At 52.2% G+C, this 20,609-nt stretch overlaps 1 protein-coding gene across 1 annotated transcript in view, besides 2 other annotated features; it reads right to left on the bottom strand.

The window, feature by feature from the left end:
* RANBP2 (RAN binding protein 2) overlaps positions 1 to 20,609 on the bottom strand; it is a 1,122,820-nt gene that overhangs the window by 307,343 nt on the left and 794,868 nt on the right. The window lies entirely within an intron of this gene.
* Positions 16,883 to 17,422: an enhancer, noted in NCBI's record as "H3K4me1 hESC enhancer chr2:110275114-110275653 (GRCh37/hg19 assembly coordinates)". NCBI's record gives its function as "activates a minimal SCP1, AML or CMV promoter by ChIP-STARR-seq in naive H9 embryonic stem cells {active_cell/tissue: H9 hESC(naive)}" and the evidence as "EXISTENCE:reporter gene assay evidence [ECO:0000049][PMID:30033119]".
* Positions 18,439 to 18,678: an enhancer, noted in NCBI's record as "active region_16366". NCBI's record gives its function as "activates an Ori minimal core promoter by ATAC-STARR-seq in GM12878 lymphoblastoid cells {active_cell/tissue: GM12878}" and the evidence as "EXISTENCE:reporter gene assay evidence [ECO:0000049][PMID:35858748]".

Here is a 20,609-nt window from a genome sequence, read left to right as displayed (position 1 = left end):
GATGTCCTGCACTCACAAGCAGTGCTGGAGGGGAGGGGGCCTTCTCAGGGTTATGTCCACCACCACTCTCCCAAATTACCCAGCTCTAGTCAGGTAAGAAACAAACCATTCAGTGATGTGATAGCAATACTTAAAACAAAACAAAACAAAACAAAACAACTTTCACTCCCAAACTTTTTTTTTTTTTTTGAGACTGAGTTTCACTCTGTGGAGTACAGTGGCACAATCTCAGCTCACTGCAACCTCCGCCTCCCAGGTTCAAGCGATTCTCCCACCTCAGCCTCCTGAATAGCTGGGATTAAAGGCCAGTGCCATCACGCCCAGCTAATTTTTGTGTTTTTAGTAGAGACGGGGTTTCTCTGTGTTGGCCAGGCTGGTCTCGAACTCCTAACCTCAAGTGATCCACTCACCTCGGCCTCCCAAAGTGCTGGGATTACAGGTGTGAGCCACGGTGTCCAGCCGTTCCTAAACATTTCAATAGCATTGGCTGAAATATAAATATTGCTTATTCTGTTGTCCTCCCAGCTCTTAGTTGCTTATAAAGAGTTTTGTAATTTTCAGATTGCTCTAATGCCTGTGATCCTACTAGAACAGGTGGATCCTAGAACTACTAGGATGCAGGTGGATGGGTTAGGGAACTGAGGCCGAGCGCCCTAAGGACTTGAGACGGCAGTGGCAGAGCTAGATGAGAATTGCACCTCACCTGTCTCCATACCAGGCTGAGAAAACCAGGCATTTCTAGGTCTTTCTGAGGAAACAGTGTAGGTGTTTATCATCATAGCTTGGCTCTGACAGTCTTACACACTGGCAGAGGCTCGTCCACAGAAATGAGGTCTCCAGGCAGAAGTGAGCTGAGGGGAATGCCTTTTGGACATCTGGAAGCAGCTAGTACTGTCCCTGAGGCTGGGCGACAGAAGGAGAGGGTATGAGGCCGCTCACCCGCTTCTGGCACTGTGCAGCGCTGCCCTGGGCTCCTCCCGGTCTGGCCTCACTGACTGCCCATTCCCAGTTTCCCCTCCAGGCAGTGTGAGTTTCAGTGCTAGGGGCCACTCCACATGGCGGGAGACAAGTAGCTTTACAAAGACAGGCTTAAAGAGTGAAAAATCTTCAAGACAAATAAATTTGAACTGTGGGAGTTCAGGAATATCAGGAGCTGGAGAAATCTTGAAAGTACCCCCCAGGACCTTTTCAATTATCTAACTCAATCATAGTAAAGGCTGCTTTTCTGTTAGAAATTACGCTTGACATGGGTTAAGTGGGTTCACAGTGCTGTCACTCTCATCCTTAGCTGTTTGTATTCGCTAACAGCTAATTTTTTCTTTTAAAGCTTTTAAGTTTATTCTGTTAAAAGTTGACATGACATTGAGTGGATAATATTGTTAGAATATTATGGGAATAACACCCATGATATTGAACCTTTACCCATCCGCAGCCTCCTCCTCAGGCCCGTGGTTCTGTCAATATGGCCTGGGGCATTCCACACCAACATTTCTGCCAGAAGATAGATGTTCTTGTGTTCTTGACTAGCAGAGACAAATGAAACTTAATCGTGTTTTCTAACAGAAACAAAGCGTGTCTAGTACTTCTTTTAAAGATACACAGAGAGCACACTAACAAAAAAGATAAACAGACGTCCTGCTGTTCCTCATGGGATCCCCAGGTCAGCAGTGAGCGCAGCCTGTTCCTCCATCCAGCAGCAGGGCAAGTGCCCTCCACGGGCTGTGTTGGCAGTAGCTCTTGTGTGGGTATACATTGGTATATGGATTTTTCAAATGCTTGCTTACCCTCCCTCCCTCTTTCCTCCCTTCCTCCCTTTCTGTTTTAGAGCTCCTTTGTGCTATCCTGTCCTCCCTCTCAGGTCAGCTCTCTGTCCTGAGGCCTTTGGTCATCACCTGACGTGTCTATTTGTGTCTGTGAGGGTGGTCTCTAGAGTGTGAGCCCCAAGAGGGCAGGACCTTATCTGCCTTGTTCACTGCTGTATCCCAGGGCCAAGCATGCACCTGGCCAGTGAGTGTTTATTGAATGAATTAACAGAAACTAAACAGAAGGAAGCAGGAGATTTTAGGCAGCTGGGGCCGAAGATGGTGAGAGCTCCTGTGTGAGGTGTCCACTGCCCAAAGGGTAGAGGAGGCGTCACGGGGCAGAATGACAGCAATTCTGCATCATGCATTTAAGTCTAAACTTCCTTACAAGATCTGTCAGGAGGTTATTAGAGCATCGTGGGCTCTTCCCAGGTCTTGGTAAGAGCTCCTTTGTGCTATCCTGGTCTCCCTGCCAGGTCGGCTCTCTCTCCCGAGGCCTTTGGGCATCATCTGATGTGTCCCCATCATACATGGCAGCTTTAGATTATAGACACATTGAGTTCACCTGAGAGAAATAAGGAGCAAGCCCTCACCGGGGTCAGGGCCCTTCTGTCACAGTGGCTTTCAGGCTGTGCTCCCCGTGAGATTTTAGGGAAGTCACAGGTGGGGGCACCCACGCACAGGGCTTCTAGGCCCCCACTGCCATTTCAAGAAGAATAACTCCACTCTTATCTGGTTTATAAACCTTAGCCGGCTTCTAGATAAGATTTAATTTGAACAAAAAGTTCTAGGGCTTTGGAAGTATAAAAGCTAAAACAGCTCTTTTGCAATTTACTTGGTTGATGGAACGTGAATGTTTTTACTGATGGATAATTCCCAAGTCTGGTAGTGACCGAGTCTGTAATTGAAGAGAGATCTTCCTCCCTTGCAGGGGATGCTTCTGCCCACACCTCCTGGGAGGGCCCAGAAGCAATTCTAGCCCCTGAGTCCCAAGATCATGCTACATCCTCCCAAGCCTTCTCCAGGATTCACAGCTCTGTGTCCTTTGGTGGCTCCCACATGCCCCCAGGATGTGCCAGCCACCTCATCTGGACTGTCTCTGGCCTGGTGCCGTGGGGTCCCGTGTGTCCACCCATGTAGGCAACTGTGTATTCACTTTTGTCACAGCTACACCATCCTTCTGGAAGAATCTGTCACCCTGAAAAAGATCTTTGGCCAAGTGCAATCAATTTCTATACATGAGGTTTTACAGTTATGTGGGTTGAGCCAGAGCTCACTGATGTTGGGGCATTAATCCCTCCCCTTGAGGTGACCATGATGACCTCGATTCCGCCATCTGTTGTATCTACCTGTTCTGCTCAGCTTTGGGTAATCAGTAGATGCAATATTTATGCACTGATGTCTTTATCTAAATTCTAGAAGTATTTGACGTGACAGAGCCCTGTGGTATGCCACTGGAGACTTCCCTCCAGGCTGGCAATAATTTAACTTGGCCCCACAGAAGATTCTGAAGTCTTTGATTAAAACCTAAGGTCCTTTGATGAGTTATTGAAAAAATATAATCAATCATGATTCCAATGAGCAGCCAGAAAGTCATGCCCAGACTGATTTACATTGATTAGGGCCACGATGCATATCCAAGAGACAGATGAAAGGGCTGAGTTCAGGGTGGAGGATTGGATTCGCCATGATTTCAGCAACTCAGAAGTCTTGTGGGTCAGCCCTGTCCTTCCCTTTGTAAGTGCGCAGTGCCAGATGGCTGTCATCAGAGAAGAGAGAAGTGGCCAAGGGTGAGACTTTACAGCTGGCACCTCTGCAGTTGCACATACCACGTCCTGAGCCCTGCAAGGTCTGACATCAAATGCAGAGCCGGTCTGTAGAGTGGGATGTTTTCACATCAGAAACCAAGTGTCAGAATTGTGCCTTTGAACATCAAAAAAGAGAGATGCTCTGATATTCAGGGACAGGCTCTGAGACCAAATAGAGGGGCCCTTGTGCCAAATTCTCAAAGATCCTGGGTGAAGGGCTAGCCTGGCTCTGTGCTCTGCTCTCCTGCTCGGTCCACACCTCCCTGCTAGATGGGAGATGGGGTCCCACAAGGCCTGGGTGTGGGCTAGAGAGGTGAGGGAAGGACATCAAGCCCAGCCTCCTCGGGAAGCTCTGATGCTCTTTCCCTCTTTCCCTCTTCCAGAGTCTCTATTTCATTTCCCGAGAAGCTCCTTGTCTTGAGGGTCGGCTCTCCCTTCCTTTTCTCCCTCTCCGTAGATGTGCAGTGGCCACTCCAGGAACTGCCCAGGAACTGCCCTGGCCCGGCCCTTCCTCTTGAATGTCTGGGGTGGGGCAAGACAAATAACTCAGTTTAGTGATCCTTGGTAAATACCAGGGAGAGAGAGAGAAAGAGCAAGCAGTCAGTGGTCAGCTTTGACTTCCAAAATAATTCAATTTTCAGTGTGTAAGATATTAGATGGTTAGAAACTGAACAGCACACAGAAAGGTACACCCAGAGACAGCACATGCCCCCTCGGCTCTCTCAGCTGGTTTCTTCCTATCCCTTAGCCATTTTTATTAGAACCTTGCATATCATTCCGGTATTTCTTACACAAAGCCAACACCAAGATAGATATGTATAGACACGTTTTCTTATTGCACTACTTTCTTACAAAAGAGAGTACACTATTTTATTGTTCTGAGCCTTGCTTTCTTCATTTAGTAATCTGCACAGTGAACTTTGCAAATCCGTCCTCACTTCTGTATTTGTTTGCAGCTGCTTGGACTCCGTAGAGTGGAGGCGCCACAGCCTGCTCACGTGGCCCTGATCAGTGGACACGTGGCTGTCAGTTGCTTGATGTCACAGCAAACGTCGCCGTGACTGCCTGACCACATGCCGCTCCTTTGTGCACAGGTGATCTCTGGCTCAGCTCGCCTCCCTGGGCCATGCTTTTTGTGTTCCCACCACATTGCCACACCCATGAGTTCTGGCCACTCTGAGGGCAAACGCAGTGTCTGGTGTTGTGTGAATTGCATCTGCTGATGAGTGAGGCTGAACATCTTCTATGCGGGAGAGGGCCATTCATATTTCTTTTTTAAGAACTGTCTGTTCATTAGACTCATCAGACCCAGAGCAGAAACATCTGTCTTAAAAGTCAGGCAAGAGCTGTTTTTCTTTTTTTAAAAGAAAACAGTCGTTATGGTTGCTAAAAGGCTGATGGCCCAAGGGACCTAGCACATGAGACTCATTCTAGAAACAGCAGTGTGGGGAGAATGTGGGATGATTTCAGACAAGTTTCCATGCCTCAAGGGGCAAGAAGGCTCAGCCCAGTGGGGAAGTGAGGGCTGGAGGCAGGGCCCTGGGAAGGGGCTCCACAGCCCCCACCCCCTCAGGTTGAGCCCCAGGGTTGTGACAGGTGAGGTGACCTCTTATGACCTTCAGGGTCTGTCCTTCCTTCTGAGATTCCCTTCCTGCCCAGCCGCCCCTCAACGCCTTCCACAGTTCCCCCTTCCTGGTGACCTGTAGACATGCACAGCTTTCTTTTGTCCTAAGCAAAGCAAAGCAAATGAAACCCAAACACTACTGTTTTCTGCAGCTGTTACCACGTGTCCTTGGCTCCTCAGGACCTCCTCAGCACCCTATTGCTCTGCTGTCCTGAAACACCTCCCTTTGTGGTCCAGGCCGTGCTATCTCCTTCCCCGTGCAGGGGCTGGGCTCCGAGCTTCTCCCCTGCCCCCACCCTCCGGCCTCCCCGGCTCTCCCTCGAGGTCCCATCTGTTCCCGCAGCTTCCATCGCCCTTTCAGGACACCGCTGGTCACTCTACACTGTAGCCCTTCCTCCTCCTCTGCACTCCTGGCTGGCTGTCCACATTGGCCTGGCTGCCCCACCCTGTCTATGTTCAAACAAACCCACCCCATCCCTTCAGAGGCCCAAGACCAGACTGGGCACCCCATGTGCCAGGCCCTGCAGGCACCTCTAGTCCCTGAGCCCATCCAGGACCCGCCACCATCAAGGGAGTGGCAGGACTCACCTGCAGGGCCCAGCAGCCTGCAGCCACCGGGTGCCTGGATGGAGCCGCAGCCATGGCCTCTGGGCTTGTTTCCTGCGGCTGCTGTGACAAATCTCCGCCAACTCAGCACCCGTGGCACAAGCTTATCCTATAGTGGAGGAAGTCGGAGGCCCAGAATGGGTCTGAGCGCTAAGGTCAAGGCATGGACAGGCTGCAGCGGTCATCAGCTCAGCCCCTCCTTGGTGGAGTCCTCCTCAGTTCGTGCCGGCCTACACCGACCCTTCTGCACCCATGGTCACTTCCAAGGACCCTGTGACCACATCACCCACCCCCAATAATCCAGGATGGTGTCTCCATCTCAAGATGGGCTGATTGGCAACCTTAACCCCCTTTGTCGTGTGATGTGACTGCAGGGTCTGGGGAGGGAGTAGGACGCTTTGGGGACCGTGGTTCCATCTGCAGGACGCCTCTGCTCCGACCCCTCCTGCCCCACGGCCCTGCTGCTTTTCCTCCTGTTCTCTGGGCTCTGCCCACAGCTGCAGCACCACAGTCTCCTGGGCCTGATTCCTTCCCTTCTCCCACCTCCTCAGAGTTGCCAGAGTTACTGTTCTAAGCCGCAGACCCCTCCCATCCCTTCCAGCGGGGTCCTGGGACTGGCTGTGGCGGGCATCCTGGTCTTGCACCCGTTTGGCTTGATCCTTCCCAGGAGGGCAGGGCATGGAAGGATTGGGCTCTGACGACACTTTCCCATGGGCCATGTTGGCATAGCTTTAAAATGGCAAACCTTTAGACTTGGCACTCATGTTTATTGCGGGCAATTGGAAGAGCATACCCCCTTGCTCTGCTGGGCCTTGTGCTGGGCTGGGGCCTGTGGGGTGGTCAGGATGGAGCGTGTACTCAGGGCAGGGCACAGCGGGGCACAGGGTATCCCTCCTGCATGCCACTTAGCTGAAACTTTACCTGGTGACGTGGGGCATCAAATCTGTGCTGGCTGAAGCCCTGCTGGGCCCAGTCCTGCTCCCAGGTCACTGTGACTCATCTGGGCCTCCAGCTGACCCTGATGACCTCCCTTCAGCTGCTGGGATGCCTCAGGTGCATTCCTGGAAGAGCCCATGCTCAGTCACTCTGGAAGCTGCTCATGGGCACAGCCCACAGACTATCCACCCGTCCTCCCGCCTGGCTGCAGGGGTCTCCACTCTGCACATCCTCCTCGCCCTCCAGCCCTTGCCTGGCTTCTCCTGCTCTGCCCTCCCTGGCTCCTCAGTCGTTATTTCCACTCTGTTTCCTTCTGACAGTGGCTTCTTTCCCTGGTGACTCTGACGACAACTTGAGGATCTTCATAGGGAATCAGTTGCAAAGCAAACTTGCTAAGATTGGCGACCTGTCAGCCACATCTATTTATTTTTTAAAAAAATCTTTTATTTTGAAATAATTTTAGACCTACAAAACAGTTGCAAAATTCATACAGAAATCTCATATGCCTTCCCTGCCACTCCCCCGACATTAACACCTGACGTGACTAAAACAATCTACCCTAGAAAATTCACATGATTCGATACTATGAACTCACCTATGGGATTCATCCTAATGTGGCTGTGGGTCCAGTGACATCCGTTCTCATGCCCAGGGTCCCACAGGGCCTGCGTTATTCCTCTTGGGGGTCTTCCAGTCCATGGTGGCTCCCCAGTCTCTGGAGTTTAGGATCTGTGAGACACATCTCAGGTGTGGGGAAATGCCTCCAGCACGTCTGTTTCTTATGTTACTCAAACTCCTTTCCCGCTGCAGGGGAAGGACACAAACACCATCCTTGTCCTAACATACCATGTTCTGCCTGTGTCAGCTTCCTAGGCAAGCAACTGGTTTTCCAGAGATGGGCTGCCTGGGGCCCAGGCCTCTCTGCTTAGTCTCCAGGACCAGCACAGTGAAGGCGTGCGGCAGCTGATGGATGCACTTTGGCTGAGCTGGGTTCAGGCACACACATCTGCTTCGTGTGGGTTTGTGTGAGGTGTTGCACATGTAAACATTTGTAGGTATGTGTATTTGTGCACGTGTGTGTGTGTAGGGTCATCTGGTAGCTATTGTAAAAATCCATTATTTCTATAAGCTAAATTAAGACATTTAATTGGTCAAGCACAATTTGTCAAGTGTGAGCTTTATGGCAAGCACTATCCTCATTAGACACTACACCAAGTCCTTGTGCATACCCAGCCCCCACGCAGGCAGGCTCGAGCCTCGTGCTAGAGTCGAACATGTGCTGGCTGAGGCAGACACATCTCTGAGAACACATTTGTAGGCCATCAGAGAGGGTCTCCTAGAGAGGAAGCAGCCCACCAGAGGGTTGAATAGGAATTCACCAGGCTGAGGTGGTCCCAGGCAAGGGTGGAGAGAGGGTGCATCTGGGGACCCAAGAGCCGGGGAGAATATCAATTGCAGCTGTCATCGGTGAGCCCCCTGTGCCAGAGTGCATGGCAGACACATCCGTGCACTTCCTCCCACCCTTGGGCCTCCAGAAAGTCTGCTTTCTGGTGTCATTCAAAGAGGAGGTGAGCCGGGCGTGGTGGCTCACACCTGTAATCCGAGCACTTTGGGAGACCAAGGCAGGTGGATCACTTGAGGTCAGGAGTTCGACACCAGCCTGGCTAACATGGCAAAACCCTGCCTCTACTAAAAATACAAAAATAAATAAGGCATGGTGGCACATGCCTGTAGTCCCAGCTAACTACTTGGAAGGCTGAGGCACGAGAATTGCTTGAACCCCAGAGGTGGAGGTTGCAGCGAGCTGAGATCAGACCACTGCACTCCAGCTTGGGCGACAGAATGAGACTCCATCTCAAAAAAATAAAAAATAAAAAGGAGGTGAGAGTGGCTCAGAGAGGCTGGTGCCTTGCCCAGGGCCACAGGCAACAGCAGGCAGCCCTGGGCTTAAACCCAAGAAAGGAAGCCTGTGCCTCGAATTTGAGGTCTCAGAGGGTGGCAGATGAGCTTTCCTGAGAGACAAAAGAGGGAAATAGCATCTGTGAAAAGACATAAGGAACTTAGTCTGGTGCTTACTGTGCCCTGATTCCTGGTCACCTGTGGGCGTGTGTCAGGGGCCCTGATGGTGACTGGTTGTGGTGGCTCTGGTGCTCGGGATTGCGAGCAGCTCCAGAACCTGGGTGACACCACCTCCCCACTCACTGGGCCACAGTGGGCTGCAGAGACTGTTAATGCTGAGGCTTCTGAGCTGGGAAAATTAGCAATAGCAGCACAAAGAAAATTACCCTCCATCTGCTTCCAATGACAATGGTAGGACCAGAGAGATCCCAAAACCTGAACAGAGGAGGAAACTCGGAGCCACATCCAGGACAGGCCTCCAGCAGGTAGGAAGTGCAAGTAGGAAACGCATCAATGATTTAGGGAGGAGGCTGCTTTTGCTAGTAAGGACAGTGGCCAGAGGGCCACTGAGAGCCTCCTCTCTGGCATCTTACAACAAATGGGCACCGAGCAGGTTGTCCTGAGCTACCCTGATGGTGACCAAGTTGTTGTCCAGGAATGTTTCCATCCTGCCCTGAATGCCGGGTGCTGGACCTCCTCATGGCTGCAGTGCCCTGGGGTTCACGTCACCAGCCCACCACTTTGTGGTTGGCGTCAGCTCGGGGAGTGTAGGCCTGTGGGGCTCCGGCTGGTGAGGGTGCAGGTAACTAGCACTTTCAGCCCTCAGGCATGGTGGCTCATGCCTGTAATCCCAGCACTTTGGGAGGCCAAGGTGGGCAGATCATTTGAGGTCAGGAGTTCGAGACCAGCCTGGCCAAGATGGTGAAAACCTGTCTCTATTTCTTGTAAAAATTCAAAAAAAATTAGCTGGGCGTGGTGGCACATGCCTGTAGTCCCAGCTACTCAGGAGGCTGAGGCAGAAGAATCTCTCGAACCCGGGAGGCAGAGGTTGCAGTGAGCCAAGACCGCGTCACTGCACTCCAGCCTGGGTGACAGAGTGAGACTCTGTCTCAAAAACCAAACAAAAAACAAAAACAAAAACAAAAATGATGTCAAGGGATATTTGCTGAAGCCTCATCCATAACCACAAAAAAAAAAAAAAAAACAACGGTAAGGAGCCTAAATGCCCACCATGGGAAAGTGTTGAACTAGTCTGTGATGTGGGGACAGCAGGCAGCTGCAGAAGCACTGAGTGAAGATGCAGAGGACGGATGAATCCTGACCCTGCTGAAAGGAACATAACTGAAGATCTGCGCCGAGGAGGAACCCAGGGCTTGGGAATTCCATGTGCCATTTGTTTCCTTCTTGATTCTTTTCCCTTCTTTTCTATATATTCTATAATTAGGACTTTCTCATTTAGAAACCCTTAAAAATTTAAAAATGGAAGGCCTTTTTAGATTTTTTAATTTTAATTTTTATTTATTTATTTATATATTTTTTGAGATGGAGTCTTTCTCTGTCACCCAGGATGGAGTGCAGTGGCGCGATCTCAGCTCACTGCAACCTCTGCCTCCCAGGTTCAAGAGATTCTCCTGCCTCAGCTGGAATTACAGGCATGCTCCACCACGCCTGGCTAATTTCTGTATTTTTAGTAGAGACAGGGTTTCACCATGTTGGCCAGGCTGGTCTCGAACTCCTAGCCTCAAGTAATCTGCCTACCTCGGCCTCCCAAAGCGCTGGGATTACAGGCGTGAGCCATCGCGCCCAGTGTTGTTTTGTTTTTTTTTTTTTTTTTTTTTTGAGACAGGGTCCCACTCTGTCACCCTAAGATCCCTAGCAGGAGCTGATATTCACAGAGCGTGTTATGGCTGCTTCACTCCGGCTTTCACACACATGATCTCATTCAAATCCCCATGTCATGAGAAGGTGACAGTGGGCAGCGTGTGACCACTGAGCCGTCCTTACAGTGGATGGAGGTCAGAGAACTGCCCTCTGAGCCCCAGGTCCTCCCTACCAGCTAGAGCCTTTGGACAAGCTGTGTGGCTTCCCTGAGCCTGAGTTTTTATTTGTGCAATGGAGGGAGTGTCCTGCTCTTGCGCCACTAGGCCCTGACCTTATGCATGATGTGCAGAACGGAGGCCCACGGAGTCCCAGTGAGGCTGGGGAGGTGAGACCAGGCAGGTGTGCATGGAACAGCCCCTGCTCCTGTCCCTCGGGGAAGGCAGGAGGTGGCCCAGGACTCTGAAGGATGCAGGTGGGCGGCTGTGATGCAGACAGCTACATGGGGCAGGGCTGTGCACCACAGCTCCTTACAGACACTGGCTCGGTAGGAACCACGGCAGTCAGAGCAGACAAGCATGGCCCTGAGATGCAAACAGGAAAATCTGAGAGGGAGACCGTCGCAGGCTGCTTGGTGGCCCATGTCCCAGTCTCTGAGGTATTAGCCTCAATGGGTGTCAGGGATGCTCCCCAGCTTTGCTGAGACTGTACCCAGGCAGTTCAGGGAGATGGGGTGCAGGGGTGAGCTGGGGCTGGGGGTGGGCAGATAGGGCTTGGGTGTGAGAGCTGGGCGAGGTGCCAGCAGCTGCTTCTCAGCGGCTCATGTGTCCAGTGGGAATTCCCAGGTCTCCACCTCTCAGGTCCTTCTAAAGGGCTAATGAGTTATGGTTGAAAGGTGTGTGGCTGGAGCAGGGGCACCTACCCATTCTACACATAAGATCAATCAATGGAACAGCGTGTGTATCACGGCACATCTTGGGTGACCACCTGTGCACAGCCTGAGTCCCTGTGGGACCAGGGAAAGCAGGTGCAGCATCACCTAGTCACCTGGGTGACCCGGCTTTTCCATGTAGACCCTGAGCATCCTCACCAAGTGAGGATGGCACAGCTTGGCCACTGGGGTCTTCCAGCCTGGACAGCTCTCCAAGGCCTTCCAGCAACCCATGAGTGGGTCACTTCCCCTAGGTGTGGGCCTCAGCCACTGGCAGCTTCTGCAGCCTCTCCGCCACATGATATGCAAAAACTGTGACATAGCGGTCCTGGAGGAGGAGCAACCTACAGAGATTCAAGGGCACTGTGAGTCTTGGGGCCCTGTGGAAGGAGCCTGCCATCAGCCGCATCTACTCTGACTACCCCCAGGCAACCTCTCCAGGACCACAGAGGGCTGCCTGTCAGTGGAGCAAGCAAAGACTCCGAGGGGTAGACCAGTTACAGCAGGAAATGGAGTGACAGTGCCTGACACGGACTCACAGATTTGTGCCTTTTAGCACTTACTCTAAATGGGGCCATCTACAATTCCTAAGTGGAACTTGAATCTGCACAGCTGTGTCTAAACACACGAGTATTTTGAAGCACTCTTCTCTCTCCTGGTCATCCTCACTAGTTAAGTCTGGCTGCCACGTGCTTCCACCCTGGGCAGGTGCTGCTGATTGCGTGTTGCATTTTCTTGAAATGAAGATAGCGATGGTTCCTAATCCCAGGAGCATATTAGTGTCACTGGGAAGCTTGTGGGAGATGCTGATGCCAGGGCCTGATCCTGGGCCTGATGCACTGAACGTTTGGGGTGGGACTGAACACTTTGGGAGGCCGAGGCGGGAGGATTGCTTGAGCTCAGGAGTTTGAGACCAGCCTGGAAAAAAAAAGGCTGGGCACGGTGTCTCATGCCTATTATCCCAGCACCTAGCACTTTGGGAGGCCAAGGCAGGTGGATCACCTGAGGTCAGGAGTTCTAGACCAGCCTGGCCAACATGGTGAAACCCCGTCTCTACTAAAAATACAAAAATTAGCTGGGCATGGTGGCAGGTGCCTGTAATCCCAGATACTTGGGGGGTGGGGCTGAGACAGGAGAATCCCTTGAACCCAGGAGGCAGAGGTTGCAGTGAGCCGAGATTGCGCCATCGCACTCAAGCCTGGGGGACAAGAGCGAGACTTCGTCTCAAAAAAAAAAAAAAGGTTTTTTTTTAAAAAAAAGAAAAGAGAACCTTTGGGGTGGGGCCGGACACTGGTATTTTCTTCTCAGATGCTAATGTGCAGCTAGGATTGACACAGATCACCGGAGAAACAAAATACCCCACTCAAAGTCCAAAGTTTGGAACTTTGGACTGATCTCAACTGGTAGGAGGCTCAATTTGCATATGTTCATTCAGCAGGTTTTTTTAAAATTAAATTTTGAAAAACAGTTTTATCAAAACTTTAAACATTGCGAAGTAAAACGCTGCCGTTGTGGAGTGACAGCTGTCCCATGTAAGTCGTGGCTGTCCTGGACCCTCGGGTGGGTCTGGGAGCCCGGCTGATCAGCGGGCAGGGCGGCAGCTGCGACCCCTCCCTCCCCATCCCTGCAGAAAATACATCTTCAAAGACTCAGCTTCAATTAACACCGACTATAACAGGTCCTAATGAGAGGTACTTAGGTAATGAGCTGATTAAATCTGTAATTAAAGTGTCAAAAGCACAACCCCCAAGGAGATTATCTGCTGCTAGGCTTTGCTCAGGGGACTCCACCCTGCTTTCTTGGATACACACCGTCTTTCTGTTGGAAAGCAGGCTTCCAGGTGACACGTCCAGCCAGCAATTTCTTTTGATCATCAAAAACATCAAGTGTCAAATAAAGGGGTGGAAATAAATAGAACACTGTAGAATAGAATAGACTTCAGTGAAAAGAGTGAAATCTCGGGACCGCGAGCATGCACTGAGTGCCAGCTCCGTGTGATCATCTACTCTGGCACACGGCAGTCCTGGCTTCACTCGGACACTTCCAGGGGTGTGGGTTTCCTGCCCTACAAGGCAGCCCATGCCCCAGCTCGGTGGTGCTACTGAAGTGGTGAGGAAATCCTGGATTCCAGACCATGTCTCAGCACCCTGGGGAGCCTGATCATCACTCGGGTGACTTGGCCACCATGCCCTTTACAGCCTGGGACACTGCTGCCAGCCCTTCTGTCCCTGCCCCTCTTGGCTTCATCTGAAGGTCATTCTCCTCCACCTGTCTTCTCTTCAGCATTTTCAACATCATAATTCTTTTTTTTTTTTTTGAGACGGAGTCTCGCTCTGTCACCCAGGCTGGAGTGCAGTGGCACAATCTTGGCTCACTGCAAGCTCCGCCTCCCGGGTTCACGCCATTCTCCTGCCTCAGCCTCTCCGAGTAGCTGGGACTACAGGTGCCCGCCACCACGCCCGGCTAATTTTTTGTATTTTTAGTAGAGACGGGGTTTCACCGTGGTCTCGATCTCCTGACCTCGTGATCTGCCCGCCTCGGCCTATCAAAGTGCTAGGATTACAAGCGTGAGCCACCGCGCCCGGCCTTTTTTTTTTTTGAGATGGAGTCTTGCTCTGTCACCTAGGCTAGATAGAATGCAGTGGCGCGATCTTGGCTCACTGTGACGTCCGCCTTCCAGGTTCAAGCGATTCTCCTGCCTCAGCCTCCCTGAGTAGCTGGGATTACAGACGCCCACCACCACGCCCGGCTAATTTTTGTAGTTTTAGTAGAAACAGGGTTTCACCGTATTGGCCAGGCTGGTCTCGAACTCCTGACCTCAGGTGATCCACCTGCCTTGGCCTCCCAAAGTGCTGGGATTATAGGCGTGAGCCGCTGTGCCTGGCCTCAACATCATAATTCTTTTTTTTCTTTTTTTTTTTTTTTTTTTTTTTTTTGAGATGGAGTCTTGCTCTGTCCACAGGCTGGAGTACAGTGGCACCATCTCGGCTCACTGCAACCTCCGCCTCCTGGGTTCCAGCGATTCTTCTGCCTCAACCTTCTGAGTAGCTGGGATTACAGGCATGTGCCACCACCCCCGGCTAATTTTTGTATTTTTAGTAGAGACAGGTTTCACCATGTTGGCCAGGGTGGTCTTGATCTCCTGACCTCATGATCTGCCTGTCTCAGCCTCCCAAAGTGCTGGGATTACAGGCATGAGCCACCGCGCCTGGCCAACATCATAATTCTTAAGCAGAGCTCTTATTCCCACCCACCTTTATTATCTTTCTGCTCTGAATTCAGGTCTAACTCCTCCTTCCCTTTTAAAAACTTAAAATTTGAGATAATTGTGGATTCACATGCAGTTTTAAGACATAAATTCAGAGATCCCACATATCCTTCACTAAATTTTCCCCAATGGCAACATCTAGCAAAACTACACGTAGTACCGTATCACAGGAAATTAGCCTTGTACGATCCATTGGCCTTGCTCAGATATCATGCTAACAAGCATGTGTGTGCGTGCACACCGGTATTTATTTCCATGTAATTTCATCTCACGTGTAGATGCATGCAACCACCTCCTCAGTCAGGACAAAGAACCACCCATCCTCACGCAGATGCTTCAGTCCACCCTTTTGCAGCCACAGCTATCATTTCACTCCCTTTCTTACCCCAACCCCAGCTCCTGGCAACCACTCACCTGTTCTCCATCTCTATCATTTCGTAATTTCAGGGATGCTACATACATGGAACAGCAACAAGAGCAGGCAATAGAAAGCAACGCCCTCACATGCCCTTGACAAAAGCATGCTGGATGTCCTGTGTCTTTCTTTTTACCCAGGGTCTGGGCCTCTCAATGAAATGCTAACTAGCCGAGTGACATATGTGGTTTTATCTATTTTTAATGCGTGTCTGCTCTTCTTTTAAAAGGGTGTAAACAGAATTTTCAAGTCACAACTGACCCTGGAGACCAGTATGATCTCCCCAGCAACTGTAGGGACACAGTTGGTGCCCAGCCAGGGCTGAGTTCTTGAGGCCTCTCTCTTGAGGTGCAGTTCTTTTAACAACAGGATGACATACAGGTCAATGTTCCTAGAACTACAAGTTTGGGCAAATCACACAGTAACAAATATGCATTAAACTTGATTTGGTTTGGATCGTGTCCTCACCCAAATCTCGTGTTGAAATGTAATCCCCAATGCTGGAGGTGGGGCCTGGTGGGAGGTGATTGGATCATGGGGGCAGTTTCTAAGGGTTTAGTGCCATCCCCCTAGTGCTGTTCTCGTGTTAGAGTTCTCAGGAGAGATCTGGTTGTTTAGAAGTGTGTAGCACCAGGCAGGGTGTGGTGGCTCAAGCCTGTAATCCCAGCACTTTGGGAGGTTGAGGTGGGCAGATCACCTGAGGTCAGGAGTTCAAGACCAGCCTGACCAACATGGTGAAACCCCGTCTCTACTAAAAATACAAAAATTAGCCAGGCATGGTGGCGGGCACCTGTAATCCCAGATACTTGGGAGGCTGAGGCAGGAGAATCACTTGAACCCAGGAGGCGGAGGATGCAGTGAGCCAATATTGCATGACTGCACTCCAGACTGGGTGACAGAGCGAGACTCCCTCAAAAAAAAAAAAAAAAAAAAAAAGATATGTAGCACCTTCCCCACCTCTCTCTTCCTCCTGCTGGGGCCATGTAAAATATGCCTGCTTCTGCCACGATTGTAAGTTTCCTGAGGCCTCCCCAGAAGTTGAGCAGTTGCTTCCTGTACAGCCTGTGGAACTGTGAGCCAAATAAACCCCCTTTCTTTATAAATTACCCGGTCTTGGGTATTTCTTTACAGCAGTGCAAGAATGGACTCATACAGAACCCAAAACACATTCTGTGAGAATGCATTAAAAAAAATTACAACAAAGTTCAGTTGGAAATTTTGATTCAGTATGCACATATTTGCTTTACTTACAATTTAGTGCTGCTAATGGTGGGAATGTCCAGCAGAAGCAACAAGGCAATGGTTCTTAGAGCAGATGCCCCCTGTTGGAGTTACAGACTTGAAGCTGCGGTATTTGTGGAGCTGGGCCGTAGGCTCTGGGGTCTGCAGACACTGAGTTAAGTTGCTGGCTGGCTGTAAGCCCTGGGGGAAGCTACCTAACCTCTCTGAACCCCTGCTCTCCCATTTGTAAAATGACCATGATGAGAGTCCTCATAGGGTGCTTGTAAAGTGAGATGATGGAGTAAAGGGCCCAGCACCGTGCTCAGTTAACACAGCTGATGCCCTCACCCTGGAGGGCCGGCCTGTGTAGGAGGAGAAACAAGAGATGTGTAGGAACAGCCCTTTTGGAAGGCTTAGAAACAACTTCATGCTGAATAGAAGGAAACCAGAAAAGAAACAATTGCCCACACTTATTTATATTTTACCCTGTGAGTTGTTGTTGCAAGATGTGTGCAAGGATTCAAATGCCGCCAATTAGAAAAGCGGACCTTGTAGCTTGTGGCTTCATGGCTGCACACCAGGTAAGCGAGTTGCAGCTCGTATCTGCAGGGCCTCAGCCCCTGGGCTCAGCCCACTTGTTTTCATCCACGTCTGCTCCTCTGAAGTTCTCAAATGGGACTCGAGCTCCCATCGGGGGCATACCCTCTGCAGCTGCACCTTCTGGGACCCTGCAGGCCACACAAAGCTGCAAAGACCTCGGGCGTCGTTATCTAGGCTTCCTAGTCACCTGGGGATGGCATTGTCCTTGTGGAACACCAGGCCTCGTGTTTGTGGGTGTGCTCCAGGCTCTCGACAGCACTGGGTGTCAGCCTGTGCTGCACGGTGGGCACTTGGGACACCCACCCAGCCCTGTGGGATCAGAACCTCCAGCCAGAACCCAGCCCAGGACGGAGCAGTAAAGAACTCAGGCAGAGGCAGACAGCCGTGGGGTCTGCAGGCGTGGAGCTCACACCCCTGCTGAGCTGTGAAGGGGCCATGAGAGGAGGGCCTGGGCAGGATTCCAACGTCAGAGTGCAGCCATTGCTCTAATGCTGTTCCCTGCACAGGGCTGAAGCAAGCAGCAGCCAGGCGGGGTTCACAGGTCCGAACCTGCGGTGTTTGGACTCTGTTCACTCACCCGGCCTTCCTTGCTGCGGTGGTTCGGCAGCTTCCGGAAGATTCCAGCAGAGACTCCTGCAAGCCTCAGGTTGACACATGAATGACCAATGAACCTGTCAGGCTTTATTGAGCATGGACCAAGTCCCAGGCCCCGCACAGTCCGGGGATAAAGAGGGGGGCTGGTGTGGAGACAAAGGGGCACTGAAGTCATGGGCGATGGCGTGGGAGGGGGCGGGCGATGCTGGCAACAGGGGAGGACAGCAGCTTCCAGAGGCTGGGCGGGACCTCTGTGTATACCCTTTGCACATTCCGGGTGACCCTTTCTAAGGCTCGTACAGGGACACCAGTCCCCCAGAACTCAGTGTTTCTGGCCGGTTCTAGGCCTGTGGGGTGAGGGCTGGCCAGTGTTCCTGGAAGGCAGTTTGCAGGGGAGCAAAGCTCAGCCATGTGTTCCTAGTGGGTAGGGCTGCGATCACCCTTACCCGAACTGTACACTGGAGGACTGGGCTGGGGCTCATTTTGCTGAGGCCAGGAATTCTGGGGGCCATGCTGCCCACCCTACCTCTGGCATCAAGATCCACTGAGACTGATGAGGAGCAGTGTTTAACCATTCTTTGCACTAAAAATATCGTGGGAAAGTAACTGATCTATCAGTTTTGGAAAATGCAGCCATCGTTTAGCAGATTTCATCTGAAGGCAAGAGGTAGGAAGTTGCCCTTAATTTGAATTGTTCGGTCGAGGGGATCCCGCTTGCACTGCAGTTACCTGCGCCTCACACGCCAGCCCTGCTTTGGGGCTGGGGGCTCCTGCGAGAGGCCAGACACGGGCTCGCCTCCTTCCCACTTCTTCAGTAATGAAAGCCTCCCTTGCGTTGGGGTGGCTGGAGTGGGACCAGCACGCCCTCCAGTGGCGGCCCTCACAGCCGCCTTGCCTGTGCCCTGCCTGAGGAAGGGCGGGCTCTCTGTGACCCGGTGGCCACAGCCTGGGAGACTGAGTGTCCGCATATCAGGACAGGCCTAAGTGCTCAGCCCCAGCTGTAGGCCCGTGCTTCTGTGCCAGTGGAACCTCTCCTGCACCAGGCATTTACAAACCCTTAAGCCTCAGAACATGTCCCGTCATGGCCACATTTTCCAGATGAGGAGACTCTGGCCTAAGACAGCACCATCAGTGACGCCAGGGGAGAGGGCTGCCCCCCAGGCCCTGGGCACAGGGGGTGGGACTTAGGTCCTTCAGGCCCAGCATGGGCCACACATCACCTGCTCGGGCCCATGTGTTGTAGAGTGCCAGGAGGCCTGGTGGGCTCAGCAGCCCACTCAAGGGTGTCTGGGGGCTCCAGGACTCATAGGCTGCTCCCATGCCCCTTAGCCCAGGGAAGACCCCTGAATCATAACCATTCCACTCAGCTAGAGACCTTGGAGCTGAGTGCTAAGCATTAAGCAGGTAGTTAGCACAAAGAATCCCTGCTGATATTGTTTGGATGTTTGGTTGTTTGTCCCCTCCAACCCCAGGTGGAAATGCAATCCCTAGTGCTGGAGATGGGGCCTGGCAGGCGGTGTTTGGGTCGTGGGGCGGATCCCTCAGGAATGGCTTGGTGCGTTCCTGGCGGTAATGAGTGAGCTCTTGCTCTGTTAGTTCATATGAGATCTGATCGTTTGAAAAAGTCCGCCACGGCCCCTACCCCTCCTGCTCCACTTTTGCCTCCCGAGGCCTCACCAGATGCAAATGCTGGTGCCATGCTTCCTGTACAACCTGCAGAACCATGAGTCAAATAAACCTTTTTTCTTGATAAATTATCCAGCCTCAGGTATTCCTTTGTAGCAACGCAAAACAGACTACTACTCCTACCCTGGGAAGAAGCGTCTCTGTAGCCATGGCCGAGTTTGGGGTGCTGGAGATCTGGCTGAGGGGATGAGGCGCTCTCCTGAGGTCCTCAGTGGGGAGGTGGGTTTGAGATCTGGGGCCTAGGAAGGGAAGGAAGGGCCTGCACTGCCAATGGCTCTTGTCCTCCACTCCACCAGGGCTTTGTCCTGGAGTCTGGCCAGCCATGAGATGAAGCAAGTTAGCAATAGGCAGGACATTCCACATCCCCCACGGACCCTCCAGGGAGGGCATAGCCACTCTGCCCCCAGCCTGCAGGCCCCCTTCTCTCAGCCACTGCCTGTAGGCCCTCCCTCCTCAACTTACACTGAATCATGTGGGGCACACTGTTTGGCGTCAAGGGGTGTGCCAAGCTCGCCATCATGGGGTGCTGGGTGCCGCCGAGTTTCCATTTAGTCTATTCCCAATGCCTGGAGAACCCTCCTGGCCCTGGCCGCCATTGGTCATCCAGGCTGAGTGCAGACCTGGACCCACATCCAGCATGTGCGGTAAACCCTATGCCCAGCAGACAGAGGCCACAAGTGATTTCCAGGGCAAAGGTCATCCCTGGACTTGCATTCAGGCCCCAGGGCAGGGCTCTGGGCATGAGAGTTGGCAGATGTGGTTGGCTCCATGTCCCAGGCATCTCTGGCTAATGGAAGTCAGAGGCTTGAGGAGAGGGAAGTGTGTGAGGGGCATGGGGGAAGATGAGAGGGAGGGAGGGTGGGAAGCACCACCTGACCAGGGAAAGGAGGAGGCAGTGAGAAAGTGACCGCCGTGCCCAGGGCCTGGGGGGCAGCCCTCTCCCCTGGCACCCAAACCCCCAAGGGAGTCAAGCTGTGGACCTCGAACCATGGAATAAAGCTGCAAGAAGAGTCCAGAGACCAATCGGTCCCACAGCGACTGAAAGTGAAAAATGAGGGGAAGGAAAACTCCAGTCCAGGCTGTAGCCACACCTGAGGCCACTCTGGCAGAGCACTGCAGGCTCAAGGTCCCTGCGTGGGGGTCTGTACACAGGGGAAAGAGCCCAACTCTAGGGACGGCCCTGGTCCCACACCAGGGCTTCCCTGCGGCATCCCGCCTGGCCTGCACACAGGCTGGTTCCAACACACAGCCAAGTGCCCCACACTGAACTCGTACAGGGCCCTGTGAGTCTGCCTTTCATCCATGGAGGTCTGAGCTGTGCACAGTCATAATTCACTAGCCCTGGGGGCGGTGGGCGGATGGGCTGCAGCTGTGGGCACTCGCACACCCGGGGCTGCGTTT

The sequence above is a fragment of the Homo sapiens genome, chromosome 2, assembly GCF_000001405.40.
Source record: "Homo sapiens chromosome 2, GRCh38.p14 Primary Assembly".
Classification (NCBI taxonomy): Eukaryota; Metazoa; Chordata; class Mammalia; order Primates; family Hominidae; genus Homo; species Homo sapiens.
Note: the sequence above shows the minus strand (reverse complement) of the source record. Positions and strands in the feature narration are given on the sequence as shown.